The sequence below is a fragment of the Homo sapiens genome, chromosome 1 (genome assembly GCF_000001405.40).
Source record: "Homo sapiens chromosome 1, GRCh38.p14 Primary Assembly".
Taxonomy (NCBI): domain Eukaryota; kingdom Metazoa; phylum Chordata; class Mammalia; order Primates; family Hominidae; genus Homo; species Homo sapiens.
Window position 1 is genome coordinate 12,916,416 of NC_000001.11, and position 14,545 is coordinate 12,930,960.

The 14,545-nt window shown below is 47.9% G+C and overlaps 1 protein-coding gene and 2 pseudogenes across 1 annotated transcript; all 3 read left to right on the forward strand.

Moving 5' to 3' along the window:
- The first annotated feature begins 194 nt into the window (after nt 1-194).
- Nucleotides 195-4,336, forward strand: PRAMEF7 (PRAME family member 7). The gene is made up of 4 exons (NM_001012277.5): nt 195-272; nt 1,253-1,564; nt 1,947-2,522; nt 3,437-4,336. The coding sequence occupies exons 2-4, from the start codon at nt 1,278-1,280 to the stop codon at nt 3,996-3,998; spliced, it is 1,425 nt and encodes a 474-aa protein (NP_001012277.2). The 5' UTR covers nt 195-272; nt 1,253-1,277; the 3' UTR covers nt 3,999-4,336.
- On the forward strand, nt 6,139-6,244 carry RNU6-1072P (RNA, U6 small nuclear 1072, pseudogene; annotated as a pseudogene).
- Nucleotides 9,747-12,467, forward strand: PRAMEF29P (PRAME family member 29, pseudogene; annotated as a pseudogene).

Sequence of the window (14,545 nt, forward strand, 5' to 3'; positions counted from 1 at the left end):
TTATTCTTTCACTTTCATAAATGCACATCTAATTTAATCAATGAATCAGAAGAAAGTGTAAAACTCAATCAGGACTAACTAGGTGGAACTTCGGAATCTAATCAGGTATCACTTTCTGATTGGAAGCTGGTGATTGAGAAGGGGAGGGTGTGGTTAGAAACATCAATAAAAGCTCCTGAGTTTGCAAAGGAGAGACCCAAAGCCCTGGTGCCTGGAACTACTGCTTGATTCTCTGAGAGATCCCAGCACCCTACAAACTGAGTCCAGATCTGGTAAGTCACCACCTCCTTAGGAACATGCCCATCTGATCTGCAGCCAGCCAGTCAGGGATGGTGACACACAGCCCAAAGTGGCACAGAGAATTTCCTGTCTGTTTTTTCAATTTAACAGATGTAGGTTTTGATTTTTCCTCTAAATATAGTATTCACTTCATCCCTCAAATTTTGATTTCTGCTTCATTTTTCTCATTTCAAAATTCTTATTGAAGCAGTTTTTTAAAAAAGATATTAAAAATTTACAGTTGGATGAATTTTTATGTCTTGACATGTGAAGTTATTTGTTTCTGTGCCCTTCAGCTACAGTTCACACACTTAGTTGTATTGTGATTTTCTCGAGTCTTGTTCTGAACATGGGATTTATCTCTGCCCTTAGACTCTGTCCCTAAGTGGGTGATTGTGAGTATGTAGAAGGGATGAGTATTGGATCCTTCATCTGAGACTTAGTGTTTCCACCCGCACCTTCCAAGTGCTCTAGAATACTGCCACACTGCTTTTATAGTTTCTCTTATAATTTTTCAAAATAAAAACAAGTGGCATTGATTTTAAGGAGTCACTTCAGTCTTCCCCAAGCATGCTAATTGTGTAAACTGAGAATGCAGGCTGTGTGGGGCCACAGGACAGTCATTCTCATTGTTTTTGGGTGGTAAGTAACAAAAAAATTTCCCTCAAAAAGGTGGAGCTTAGCTTTCAGGATCCTGAGTGACAGATCCCAGTAATCCTGAGTTTCAGTGGAGCAATGTATAGAAATTAATGGGCCACTGGCCACCTCGTCCCCTCCTTGGTGTTTGGAAGACATTCTTTGTGGTAGTCACAGGGGCACAGATACAGATTTGTGGCCACCAAGTGCAGAATGGAACTGGGGGGAATTGAGGGCTTTTCCACCTCCACCAGAGCAATGAGATTAGCAATAGGAGAAGATGAGGTGATCATATTTGGCCTGAGAGTGATGCCTTTTCTCTGGATTTGTCCTCTAGAGTTTTCCCTTGCAGATTCATCAAGATGAGCATCAGGGCCCCACCCAGACTCCTGGAGCTGGCAAGGCAGAGGCTGCTGAGGGACCAGGCCTTGGCCATCTCCACCATGGAGGAGCTGCCCAGGGAGCTCTTCCCCACGCTGTTCATGGAGGCCTTCAGCAGGAGACGCTGTGAAACCCTGAAAACAATGGTGCAGGCCTGGCCTTTCACCCGCCTCCCTCTAGGGTCCCTGATGAAGTCGCCTCATCTGGAGTCATTAAAATCTGTGCTGGAAGGGGTTGATGTGCTGTTGACCCAAGAGGTTCGCCCCAGGTGAGGTGACCCAGGTGTCCAGGTGGGGAGGGCCCTTTTGTCCAGGGTAGGGACAGCTGTTTCAGGAGGAGGAGGGGCACCATGGAGGCCCAGAGGTTTCTGATGGTGCCAGTGAGGAAGCTCAGGAAGGCCTTGGCCATTGCCCAGCCCCTCTGGGAAAGGACTGCTCACCATGCAGGGTCCACTGAGGAAACAGAAACTTCTCTTCTAGTGGCTCTGAAAGCTACAGGCAATGGGGATGAGGCAAAATCCGGAGGGAAAAGGGGTTGGACAAAATCAGAGAGGGAAAAGTGGCAGAGAGGAGAACAGCTGATGTCTGGGATGTAAATAAAAGCTCAGGTCCTTGCCTTAGTTTGGAGCCTCTCTTCTCCTTTACCCACAGGCAGTCAAAACTTCAAGTGCTGGACTTGAGGAATGTGGATGAGAACTTCTGCGACATATTTTCTGGAGCTACTGCATCCTTCCCGGAGGCTCTGAGTCAGAAGCAAACAGCAGATAACTGTCCAGGGACAGGCAGGCAGCAGCCATTCATGGTGTTCATAGACCTTTGTCTCAAGAACAGGACACTAGATGAATGCCTCACCCACCTCTTAGAGTGGGGCAAGCAGAGAAAAGGCTTACTGCATGTGTGTTGCAAGGAGCTGCAGGTTTTTGGAATGCCCATCCACAGTATCATAGAGGTCCTGAACATGGTGGAGCTTGACTGTATCCAGGAGGTGGAAGTGTGCTGCCCCTGGGAGCTGTCCACTCTTGTGAAGTTTGCCCCTTACCTGGGCCAGATGAGGAATCTCCGCAAACTTGTTCTCTTCAACATCCGTGCATCTGCCTGCATTCCCCCAGACAACAAGGGGCAGTTCATTGCCCGATTCACCTCTCAGTTCCTCAAGCTGGACTATTTCCAGAATCTGTCTATGCACTCCGTCTCTTTCCTCGAAGGCCACCTGGACCAGCTGCTCAGGTGAGGAAGGATGGTGAGCTTTCTCTTCAGACCACAGCAGAGCCTTTCTTTGTTACAGTAAACACCAGTGGGTATGCACTGTGAGCCTGTGAGGAAGTAAGAGTGAGGGGACACTAGAATATCCATGCATTATCCTGTTGGTGGCTCTGTCCTGATACGGGTATCACACAACCATCCCAATAAAGTCAGAGGGATCTCCTGGGCTAGATGATATAGAGAAGGTGCCAAGCTAGGAAGCTAGCTACTGCAGGGTTTAGATCTGGCGAGAGTGCATTTGTGAATTCCTCCTGAGGATGTGTGTCTAAGTTAAGATGATGGGAAATAGGGAGGTGAAGAGGGCACTAAAGAGAATGCCCATCCCACTCCTATATTTTAAAATATGAGGTCTATCCTCACCTGCCTAGTGAACAGGCAAAATCCTATGTTTCCCTGTCAGCACCCTGTTTTGAGCTCCAGGTCAGGTAATTAATGTATGGGAAATACATGATGATAGAATAGAGGGTGAGGGAGCAGGAGCAAAGAATGGTAAAAGTGATAGATGGTTTGCTGATGGTACAGGCATGTCAGGGTCCCCTGCAACCTGGCCAACCCAGCTGATGTTGCAGGATCCTGCCTGGGTTTGTCATTTATGCCTGTGTCTCCATCGGGCTCCTGTGGCCCAGAGATGTGGTTTTCTACCTGACAGATGAGGAAAGGGAGACTTAGAGTTCATGGACTTGATCCAATCACCTCGGTGATGGTGAAGGACTGAGCCTCGATTGGGACTGCACTGAAGGAACAGAGTCTCCATTCCCACACCCCAGGTGCTGACTATCCTCAGATGAGCAGAGCAGCCCTGGGTTATGGAGAGCATCATCTCTCACCCTGAAGTCATCCCCACCTCTCTCCTCTAACTCCTTCTTGTTCTCTCCCAGGTGTCTCCAGGCCTCCTTGGAGATGGTCGTTATGACCGACTGCCTGCTGTCAGAGTCAGACTTGAAGCATCTCTCTTGGTGCCCGAGCATCCGTCAATTAAAGGAGCTGGACCTGAGGGGTGTCACGCTGACCCATTTCAGCCCTGAGCCCCTCACAGGTCTGCTGGAGCAAGCTGTGGCCACCCTGCAGACCCTGGACTTAGAGGACTGTGGGATCATGGATTCCCAACTCAGCGCCATCCTGCCTGTCCTGAGCCGCTGCTCCCAGCTCAGCACCTTCAGCTTCTGTGGGAACCTCATCTCCATGGCTGCCCTTGAGAACCTGCTGCGCCACACCGTCGGGCTGAGCAAGCTAAGCCTGGAGCTGTATCCTGCCCCTCTGGAGAGTTATGACACCCAGGGTGCTCTCTGCTGGGGGAGATTTGCTGAACTTGGGGCTGAGCTGATGAACACACTGAGGGACTTAAGGCAGCCCAAGATCATTGTGTTCTGCACCGTCCCCTGCCCTCGCTGTGGCATCAGGGCCTCCTATGACCTGGAGCCCAGTCACTGCCTCTGTTGAATGCCTGCCATCAGGGTGGATATATTTCAAGCTTTCTTCTGGTCATTTCGGAGCTGAAACCTAGGCCATGAGTGCATGTTAAAGGGAGCACAGACCCATCGTTTCAAATGCCTCCTCAGTGTGAATGGGAAAGGAATGAGGATGCAGGAGGGGCAGGACTGGGGGAAAAGTTGACTTGGAGTGGATGGGCTCTTTAGAGACCTGTGTCCCAGAGAATCAGAAATGGGAATCTGAATTGCTAGAGTGAGAATCAGGGAGGAGAGACACATGAGAGGGTTACCCCTGCACAGATGGTTGTAAAGTAACAGTCAGAAATAAAGGGAAACTGAGTGGAAACTATCTGGTGTCCTCCGTAATTGCTTAACATGGCTTAACAATTAAACAATTTAAACCTAAAAAAGTCCAGTTACTGATCGAGCTAATAAGGCACTGATTTGTCTGTGACTGATGAGGTTCAGCTCCTGGAAATCAAACCATCAAAATGGAATTTGATCATTTAGATCAATCCCCCTCCTGTTACCTTCTTGCTATTCTCTGTGCCTATTTAGTGGCACATGAGAGACGCACACAGGGCCTGAAGCATTCTAAGTGCAAAGTGAGTGTCAGCCACTTAAGTTAAGCCCCTTCAGGTGCCCTCATTCTGTCCTGATGCCGAGACCCTGTTCACTCTCAATGGGTGGATTCAGAGCTCTCAGTTCCTGACCGTTACCTGTGCTGGGAAAGGACTTCACTGCCCAAGGCGTGGCCCTGCCCTGGAAGGGGAGCTCCACACTGTATGAGCAGGAGCCTCAGGGCATCACTAACCCATGCCTGTCATGGTGGGTAGCGGCCCTTGCTGAATTAAAGTAGTTGTGGCCAATAAAGACATCCAAATTCCCTTTCAGCAAAATGCTGACATTATGTAGGCATATAATACCTGTAACATCAATGAAAGACCTTTTCTTAACTCCTCCTTTTTCTCCCTGTGAAGGAAGACTAGTGCATGGTAGTAGGAATCACACATCCTTAGAGGGTGGATAATGATCAAGTGCCTGTGGGTAATTAATGACCACACCTGTGCTGAAGGACCCTACACAAAGGGCACCTAAGTGTAGAACCCTGCCGAGGACTCAGGGGCTGGTGCTGTTGGGCACGAAACAGCCAAGAGGCTCAGCTTCCCTGTAAAATGAAGATGATGATGCCACCACCCTATGAGACTATCGTAGGACCCAATGAGATGGTGTATGGTCAGGACTTGGAATGGGGCCTGGCATACAGTAAGAGCTCAATATATGCATCTTGTTCTTTTTTTTTTCCCCTCCTAATAGAAGTCCCATCATTCTTCACCCTTCAATCTCACCTTCTATTCCTGATAATAGGGAGGCAGCAGAAACCCACGGCAGGCAATGGGACTCAACTTCTACACACCACCACCACCACTTAATCGTGATTCCCCCAAACAGCAGAGCCTCAGCAGCCAGCAGAGGTTGGGATGGGTGGGGCAGGACTGAGTTCATCTCTAGTGATCATGAGATAAAAATTTCCAACCCATGAGACTCATGTGCCATCTGCTGGTTGGTCAGACCATCTGGTGTAATTCATTGATGCAAACAGGATGATATTGAGTGGTATCTCCAAAAATCTGCTGTTATGTAAGTGTTTATAGAGAATAAATATTGTGATTTATATATAATTTTATACATATTGAATACATATTTTTACATAAATTTATGTACATAATTTTATACATATTGAATATATATAATTTTATACATATTGAATATATGTATATTGAAATTTTAAATTATAATGGGAATTTAGTATTTTAAAGTATGTAGTGCAATATTTTAAAAAGGTTTGTAGGCTGGGCACAGTGGCTCACGACTGTAATCCCAGCACTTTGGGAGGCTGAGATGGGTGGATCACGAGGTCAGGAGATGGAGACCATCCTGGCTAACATGATGAAACCCCGTCTCTACTAAAAATACAACAAATTAGCCGGGCATGGTGACAGGCACCTGTAGTCCCAGCTACTCAGAAAGCTGGGGTAGCAGAATGGCATGAACCCAGGAGGCAGAGCTTGCAGTGAGCCGAGAGCGTGCCACTGCACCCCAGCCTGGGGGACAGAGTGAGATCCGTCTCAAAAAAAAAGAAAATGTTTGTGTTGGCCTGGGCAGCACGTATACTAAAGTTGGAATGACACAGAGAAGATTAGCATGGCCCCTGCGCAAGGATGATGTGCAAATTCGTGACAAGTTCCATATTTTTCAGGAAACAACAGATGCTGGAGAGAATGTGGAGAAATTAGGCATGCTTTGACAGTGTTGGTGGGAGTGTAAATTAGTTCTAGCATTGTGGAAGACAGTGTGGTGATTCCTCAAGGATCTAGAACTGGAAATATCATTTGACCCAGCAATCCCATTACTGGGTATATACCCAAAGGATTATAAATCATTCTACTATAAAGACAAATGCACACGTATGTTTAGTGTGGCACTGTTCTTAATAGCAAAGACTTGGAACCAAACCAAAAGCTCTTCAGTGATAGACTAGATAAAGAAAATATGGCACATATACACCATTCAATACTATGCAGCCATAAAAAATGATGAGTTCAGGTCATTTTCAGGGACATGGATGAAGCTGGAAATCATCATTCTCAGCAAACTAACACAGGAACAGAAAAGCAAATACCACATGTTTTCAGTCATAAGTGGGAGTTGAACAATGCGAACACATGGATACAGGGAACATCACACACTGGGGCCTGTTGGGGGGTAGGGATGGTGGGGGAGGGTTAGCATTAGGATAAATACCTAGTGTAGATGATGGCTTGATATGTGCAGCAAACCACCATGGCATATGTATCCCTATGTAACAAACCTGCACGTTCTGCACATGTGTCCCAGAACTTGAAGTATATTTAGAAAATGCTTAATGTGGCATTGAGTCTCAAATAAAATGACACCTTCAAAACTGATTTTGAAGATCAATGAATAAGAATTGCTCTTATTTAAAAATATTTAAGTTTATACAATTTTGGAGCTGGAAGGAAGTGCAATATTTTTAGGGATATATGATTTATTTTCTTAGAGCAGTTATAAGGTTGCAGTGAAGTTGAGCAGAAAGTGGATCATTCCCACATACTTCATGACCCCACTCTAGCGCGGACTCCTAAAGGATCAACGTCCTGCCCCAGCGTGGTCCATTTGCTCCAATGCATGAACCACACGAACCATCCTTATCACCCAAAGTTCATAATTAACATTAAGGGTTCACATCTGGTGCTGTATATTCTATGAGTTCTGATGAATTGATGATGACATGTATTCACCCTTATAGCATCATGCAGAGTAGCTTCAGTGCCCTAAAAAAATCACCTGTTCTCTTTCTATCCATCCCACTCTACCCTGACTCCTTGCAACCCCTGGGCTTTCTACTGTGTCCATAGATTTGCCTTTTCCAGAATGTCATGTGGCCTTTTCATGTTGGCTTCTTTCACTTGGTTATGTGCATTTAAGTTTTTTTTATGTCTTTTAGGGCTTAATAATTTACACTGTCAGGATGTGCTACAGTTTATTCATCCATTTATCTGCTGAAGAATATATTGGTCCCTATTAAGTTTTGTCTATTATGAATGTAGTGGTTAAAAACATCCAGGTTTTAGGTTTTCTCATTTGGGTAAATGCCAAGGAGCGTGGCTGCTGGACCATGTGCCTAGGTTGTGTTTGATAATGATTTTTTCCTTGACAATCTCATGTAGACAGAGACTGCTTCTTCAAGGGCAGGGACTGTGTCTCTGTCACCCTGTGGTCCCACAGCAGAGCATGGAACCTGGCAGGTGGCTGTAAATGCTTATTGATCACATAGTGCTCAGAAATCACTTTATAGCCACTACAATGCAAATGTCGGGCAGTCAACATGAGCTGCCACCAATAATATAAACACGTTGAATATGGATGAAGTCACCCTCCTTTTGCCGGGGTCACTACCTGTGTGTCACGGCAGTGCCGTCATCACATGGATGAACTTCATCTGTTTTTTATAGATTTCCCCCCATGTAATACAGGACACAGTCTTTAAACAAAGAGTCATCAGAGTTCCTGATGGCCACTGGTCTGAGTCTGTCCTTTTGGCACTAAGGGCCCTCATAACTGCACTTACCTACCACAGGCGTCCCTGTAAGCACCACTAGAGGGCGAGCATCTTCACCAAACCTGATGGACCCAAGAAGTCTGACCTGAATGTCTCCCTGCTAGGCAGGGGTCCTCAGAGGAATCTTCTATCCAGTCCAGATGGAGGGAACTGGAAGAGTCTCCTCAAACCCAGGACCAACAAAGAGATTCCCTCCAAGATCCCAATTAGGGAGCCAGGACAGGGACTGAGAGGGAACAGGGAAGGGAAGGCACCATGGGTCCCAAAACCTGGAACTGATGGAGAAGGTCCCTTCCAGAAACTGTTTGGAGAGAACCAGCTGGGAAGAATTAAAGTCTCTGAGATCTTCCACCTAAGAGCTGGACATCTGAATTCAGGAAGACTTACCCGAGGCCTTCCCATGGCGCAATCGAGAAGAGCTCACGGGGCTCTTGCCAGTGCAGGATGCATTGGTTCTGGAGGCATCAGGAAGAGATCGGAGGTCCCCTTTGAATCCCACTTCTAACACCAATGAGGTCCACTAAAAATTATGGGGTCTATAGATTTAGAAAAAAGGAGCGTAATTTCTTCTAAAGGTTTACAACCTGCTCGCTGGGAAATGGGCCTCCAGGCAGGACCTGAGGCAAGCGCTTGGAGGGAGGGAAGGTGACCCAGGAATCTATGCTGAACCTGTTGGCCACCAAGTGTGCATATTCAGCAGGTCATTGGAGCAGCTATGAAAATTCACAGGGTGGGGGATGCATGCATGTATGGTAAGCAAATATACATGTCACATACATCCCAGGTTCACCTGGTGGTTGAGGCTTTACATTTAAATGCATTATAATTAGGTTCTCTGCATCCAAAGGAGAAGTTGGGACATGAAGGTCCCCAATTCCTAACTAAAGGGCCTGGGGAGTCACCTTCTACAAATCACAAAGTCCCCTCAGAGGGGGTTTATTTAACCCTATATAAAGTGGCTTAAGGCTGAGTGCAGTGGTTCACGCCTGTAATCCCAGCATTTTGGGAGGCCAAGGTGGGCAGATCACTTGAGGTCAGAAGTTGGAGACCAGCCTGACCAACTTGGAGAAACATCATCTCCACTAAAAATACAAAATTACCTGGGCATGGTGGTATATGTCTGTAATCCCAGCTACTCGGGAGGCTGAAGCAGGAGAATCGCTTGAACGCAGGAGACGGAGGTTGCGGTGAGCTGAGATCACACCATTGCACTGCAACCGGGGCAACAAGAGCAAAACTCGGTCTCAAAATCCATAAATAAATAAATAAATAAATAAATAAATAAATAAATAAATACAATAAAGCGGCTTGTTTTCCAGCCTGACTCAGGGTAGCCCAGAGTCTTCTGATGGTGCTGGTGAGGAAGCTCAAGGAGGCTTTGGCCATTGTCCAGATCCTCAGAGAAAGGACTGCTCACCATACAGGGTCCACTGTGGGAACAGAAACCTGCTTTTTCCCAGTGGAAGGTAAAGGGACTAGAAGTGGGGAGCAGTATGAATCAAAAGAGAAAACGGACTGAGAAAAGTCAGAGAGAGAACAGGGAGCAATGAGAATGAAAGCAAAAGTCAGGGATGGGTCCTTCTAAATTCTGAGCTTCTCCCTTACTTTACCTATAGGAGGTGGAAACTTCAAGTGCTGGACTTGCTGGATGTTGATGAGAATGTCTGGGCTGGATGGCCTGGAGGCTAGGCCCTGTCCTCCTCCCCAGAGGCCATGAGTAAGAGGCAGACAGCAGAGGACTATCCAAGGATGGGAGAGCACCAGCCCTTAAAGGTGTTCATAGACGTCTGCCTCAAGGAAACACCCCAAGATGAATGCCTGAGATACCTCTTCCAGTGGGTTTACCAAAGGAGAGTTTTAGTACACCTGTGCTGTAGTAAGTTGGTGAATTATCTAACACCCATTAAATATCTTAGAAAGTCATTGAAAATAGTCCACCTGAATAGTATTCAGGAGTTGGAAATTCACAACATGTCCTGGCTGCATCTGATAAGAAAGCTTCATTGTTACCTGAAGGAGATGAAGAATCTTCGCAAACTCGTTTTCTCCAGGTGCCATCATTACTCGTCGGACAATGACCTCGAGGAATGGTTACTCACCAAATTCAGCCTGTGTTCCTCAGGCTGGAACACCTCCAATTGCTTAAAGTAAAATTGATCACCTTCTTCAGTGGGCACCTGGAACAGCTGATCAGGTGAGAAAGGATCGTGCACTTTCTCTGAAGACCACAGCACAGCCTTTTTTTGTTACAGCAAACGCTAGAAGGCATAACTTTTGTGTCAGCCAGTGGTGACATCACAGTGAAGGGGACACCAGAATATCAACACATTGTCCCATTCAGTGCTCCATGTTCTGGAGTGGCTATCACAGGATCTCTGCAATGAGGGCAGCGGGGTCACCTGGGGTAGAGGCTAGAGAGCTACATCATGTACAAGCCAGGTAGTGGGGGTTTCAGCTCTACTGGGGGGTGCATATGTGAATTTCTTGTTACAAAGTGTGTTTCAAGTTGATATGATAGGAAAGAGGTAATAGAGGAGGGTATGAAAGGAGGGACAGCGCATCAAACCTGTGCATTTCACAGTAGAAACTCTGTCCTCACCAGCTTAGTGATCACAAATGATCCTGTCTCTATTCCCTGTCTGTAAAAGGTTGTTTTGAACCCCAGGAAAGGTAACTGACATGGGAAATGTGTGCTTCTTGAATGGAGGCTGAGGGAGTAGGCGTGAGAGTGGTAAAAAGTGATAGGTGGTTTGCAGATGCAGGCACGTCAGGGAGCCCCTGCCAGTAGGTAGCCCTAGCTGATGACCCTAGACCTTGCTCAGTTGAGTTCTTCATGCACATCTCCCACCGGGTACCTGTGGCCCAGAGATGAAGTTTTCTGCTAAAAGATGAAGAAAAGAGGCTTTAGTGATGTGATTTTGTGGCCTTGAACCAATCACACAAGCAATGGTGAAAGGATTGAGGCTAAACTAGGACTGCCCCTGAATGATCAGAGTCCTCATCACAGAGCAACTTGCATGTGGACCATCATCACATGATGGGAATAAACTTGTGTTTGGGTGAAGCAGACATTTCCCTTTCAGTTATTCCCCACCACCTTCATCTAACTGGTATCACTGCCCAGAACTAACTTCTTGATCTCCACAGGTGCCTCCAGAACCCCTTGGAGAACTTGGAGTTAACTTGTGGCTACCTATTGGAAGAGGACATGAAGTGTCTGTCTCAGTACCCAAGCCTCAGCTACCTAAAGCATCTGAATCTCAGCTACGTGCTGCTGTTCCGCATCAGTCTTGAACCCCTCGGAGCTCTGCTAGAGAAAATTGCTGCCACTCTCAAGACCCTCATCTTCGAGGGCTGTCAGATCCACTACTGCCAACTCAGCGCCATCCTGCCTGGCCTGAGCCGCTGCTCCCAGCTCACCACCTTCTACTTTGGCAGAAATTGCATGTCTACGGACACCCTGAAGGACCTGCTGCGCCACACCAGTGGGCTGAGCAAGTTAAGCCTGGAGACGTATCCTGCCCCTGAGGAGAGTTTGAATTCCTTGGTTCGTGTCGATTGGGAGATCTTCGCCCCACTTCGGGCTGAGCTGATGTGTACACTGAGGGAAGTCAGGCAGCCCAAGAGGATCTTCACTGGTCCCACTCCCTGCCCTTCCTGTGGCTCATCACCGTCTGAGGAACTGGAGCTCCATCTTTGCTGCTAGGGAAGGCGTGCCTAGTGGGGTTGATAAATCCAAAGTTCTCTTCCAGGCACTTGGACACTAAAATCTAGTATGTAAGTGCAAGTTATGTTTGTTTTTTCTTATTTCCTTTTTTAATAATTCTAAAATTTTATTAAAGAACATTTGAGACAGGGTTTCGCTGTGTTGCCCCAGCTGGTCTGAAACTGCTGGGCACATGGGATTCTCCTGCCTTGGCCTCCTAAAGTGCCAGGATTACTGGCATGAGTGATTGTGACCAGGCCACATGCAACTTACAGGAAGCACAGAATTCTTTGCTTCAGGCAGGTGCTCAGTATGAGGGAAAAAAGATAACAGCAGGGGGCAAGACTGGAGGAAAATGTGGAGGTGGAGTCAATGAGACCTTACGGGACCCATGTCCTACAGAGTCAGAAAGAGAAGCTAAAGTTCTACAGTGATGAGAATGTTATCCCTGCAGGGACGGTTACCAAGAAATATCAGAAATAACCTCAATGAAAACTTTCTGGTGTCCTCTGTATTTGATTGACTTGTTTTAGCGATTTATACATCAGAAATCTCTAGTTATTGAGTTACTGATGGAAAAGTATCAAAGTACTCTGTTGTCTGTGATTGAGATTCAGCTGCAAAACATCTAATTCCCACCCATTCTTTTTCTTTGCTTTTTTTTAAAAAAAAAAAAAAAAAAAAAAAAAAAAAAGACAACATCTTGCTTTGTCACCCAGGCTGCAGTGCAGTGGTCCCATCTGGGCTCACTGCAATCCTACCCTTCGGGGCTCAAGTGATTCTCATGCCTCAGCCACTCTAGTAGGTGGAATTGCATGCAAGTGCCACCAAGCCTGCTAGTTTTTGTATTTTTAGTAGAGACGCGGTTTTTCCATGTTGACCAGGCTGGTCTTGAGCTCCTGGCTTCAGTGATCTGCTGACCTTGGCCTCCCAATGTGCTGGGATTACGGGTGTGCCAATGATCTCCACCCATTCTTTACTTCTCTTCAGTCATCTGTTTTTTCCTTACATTTTCGCCTGCAAGGAGCAGCTCAGTCAGGCACAAAGGGACGGGCAGAGAGGGGCCCCGAGGAGAAGATGGGCTTGAGGTGGTAGGCAGAGCTGGGATCAAGCTACAGGGGCCTTTGTTGGGAAGCAGAAATGGCACCTAGTTCAATGACCTGGCCAGCTATGGGGCCACTGTGCCCACCCTGCTAACAGTGCCAAGTTCCTGGGTGTCGAAGGGAGGTTCTGTGCTAATCCTCCTGGGGCTGCATTTCCAAGATCTGCCCCCCACAGGGGTGACCACAGAGACTGACGTTCCTAATTGCTGGGTCTGGGGACCACGGTCCACCCCTGGAGGCACCCCACCTTGGCAGGGTTGTGAGCCAGGCCTCTGCCCCGTGTTCCTGAGGCAGACAGCTGTGCCACCCACACCCTCTCATGGCTTAATGAGACCCGCTCCCGGGTCTGGAGCCTCTACAAAGCCTCAAACTCACTCCTCACGGCCTGCTGTTAGCCTGCAATATTCTTAACTAGAGTGCAGTTGGGGCTCATTCAACCAGACCCAGAAGCATTGGGTTTGTTTTTGCAGGGTTGGCCAGAGCTGCTGTGAACCTGCATCTCACCTGTCACCTCTGTGGAGAAACACAGAGAGAGGGCATAACTGAGGCTACATACACTTTGAACCTGATGGGATCCTGGGACAAGAGGGAGTCCTGGCCCTCCCGAGTTGGCAGGACAGTAGCTCCAAAGGCACAACTGAAGCTGCCCAGGTCGCAGTTCCAACCAAGGTCCCCCAGTGCTCTTGAGGGCTCAGGAGGTCTCCCCTTCTCCTGCAGCATGGGGGTGTCTGCTCCCACTGTGTGGTCCCTCCTGGCACCTGCTGTAATTTTGGAGCGGAGTTGGGGTCAAGCATGTATGCTGTGGCAGCCCAGATGAGCGTGTGCATGCTCAGGTTCGTGCTGATGCACCGTCTGCCTGCTGTCTTGAACACTCTGGGCTTTGGGCCCTGATGAGCATGGGAGGGAGGCTGAGAGGGGGCTGAGGACAGATCAGTGCTGGCCTTTGGATGCTCCTTGATGCAAGTGACCTGGGCGCCATGGGTGGTGGTGGGAGGCAGACAGACTCCTGGATGGGAAGACGAGGGTACCTGGTGAGGCTCTACCTTGTGACCAAGGCGGGCCTGAAGCCCGTGGGCTGGTCCACCAGTGCTATGGACCAGAGTGGGAATATGTGGTGCCTTTTCTGTGCCTGCCAATGGCTACCTATGACCCAAGCAGCACATACTTCCTTCCCCATGATGCCCCAACAGCCCCAGACTCAGGGAAAACATCAGGATGAACAGTGGCAGAGTGAAACTACCCACTCTTGGGATGATTTTCCTGCAGACAAGCAATCCACTCTGGGGCCTTTTCTCTACTGAGAGCTGTGGAGATGATGAGATGACTTTCCTGGAAAGAGCAGCAGACACCACTGTGTACTCCAGGGACAAACATGGAAGCTGCTTTTGCTGTGCCTGGTTCATTTGCAGCCTTGCAAAAATCTGGCACCTGTGCTGGCACCTGAAGCTGCCTGCCCCACTGCTGTGGGAGCCAGTGACTGTCCAAAGTGACCAGACCCCCTGCTCACTCAGACACCCCTCACTGCTCCAGTCCTGACCCTCCCTTAATAGGCATGTGATCCAGGCCTGAAGCATGAGCCAAGCATAGTCTACCAGTCTGAGTGG

Excerpts from the sequence above, each read along its gene's own strand:
- PRAMEF7 (NM_001012277.5), top strand. The coding sequence starts at position 1,278 with ATGAGCATCAGGGCCCCACCCAGACTCCTGGAGCTGGCAAGGCAGAGG. Across the intron at positions 1,565-1,946 it reads ACCCAAGAGGTTCGCCCCAG|GCAGTCAAAACTTCAAGTGC; the intron begins GTGAGGTGACCC and ends CTTTACCCACAG. Across the intron at positions 2,523-3,436 it reads CACCTGGACCAGCTGCTCAG|GTGTCTCCAGGCCTCCTTGG; the intron begins GTGAGGAAGGAT and ends GTTCTCTCCCAG.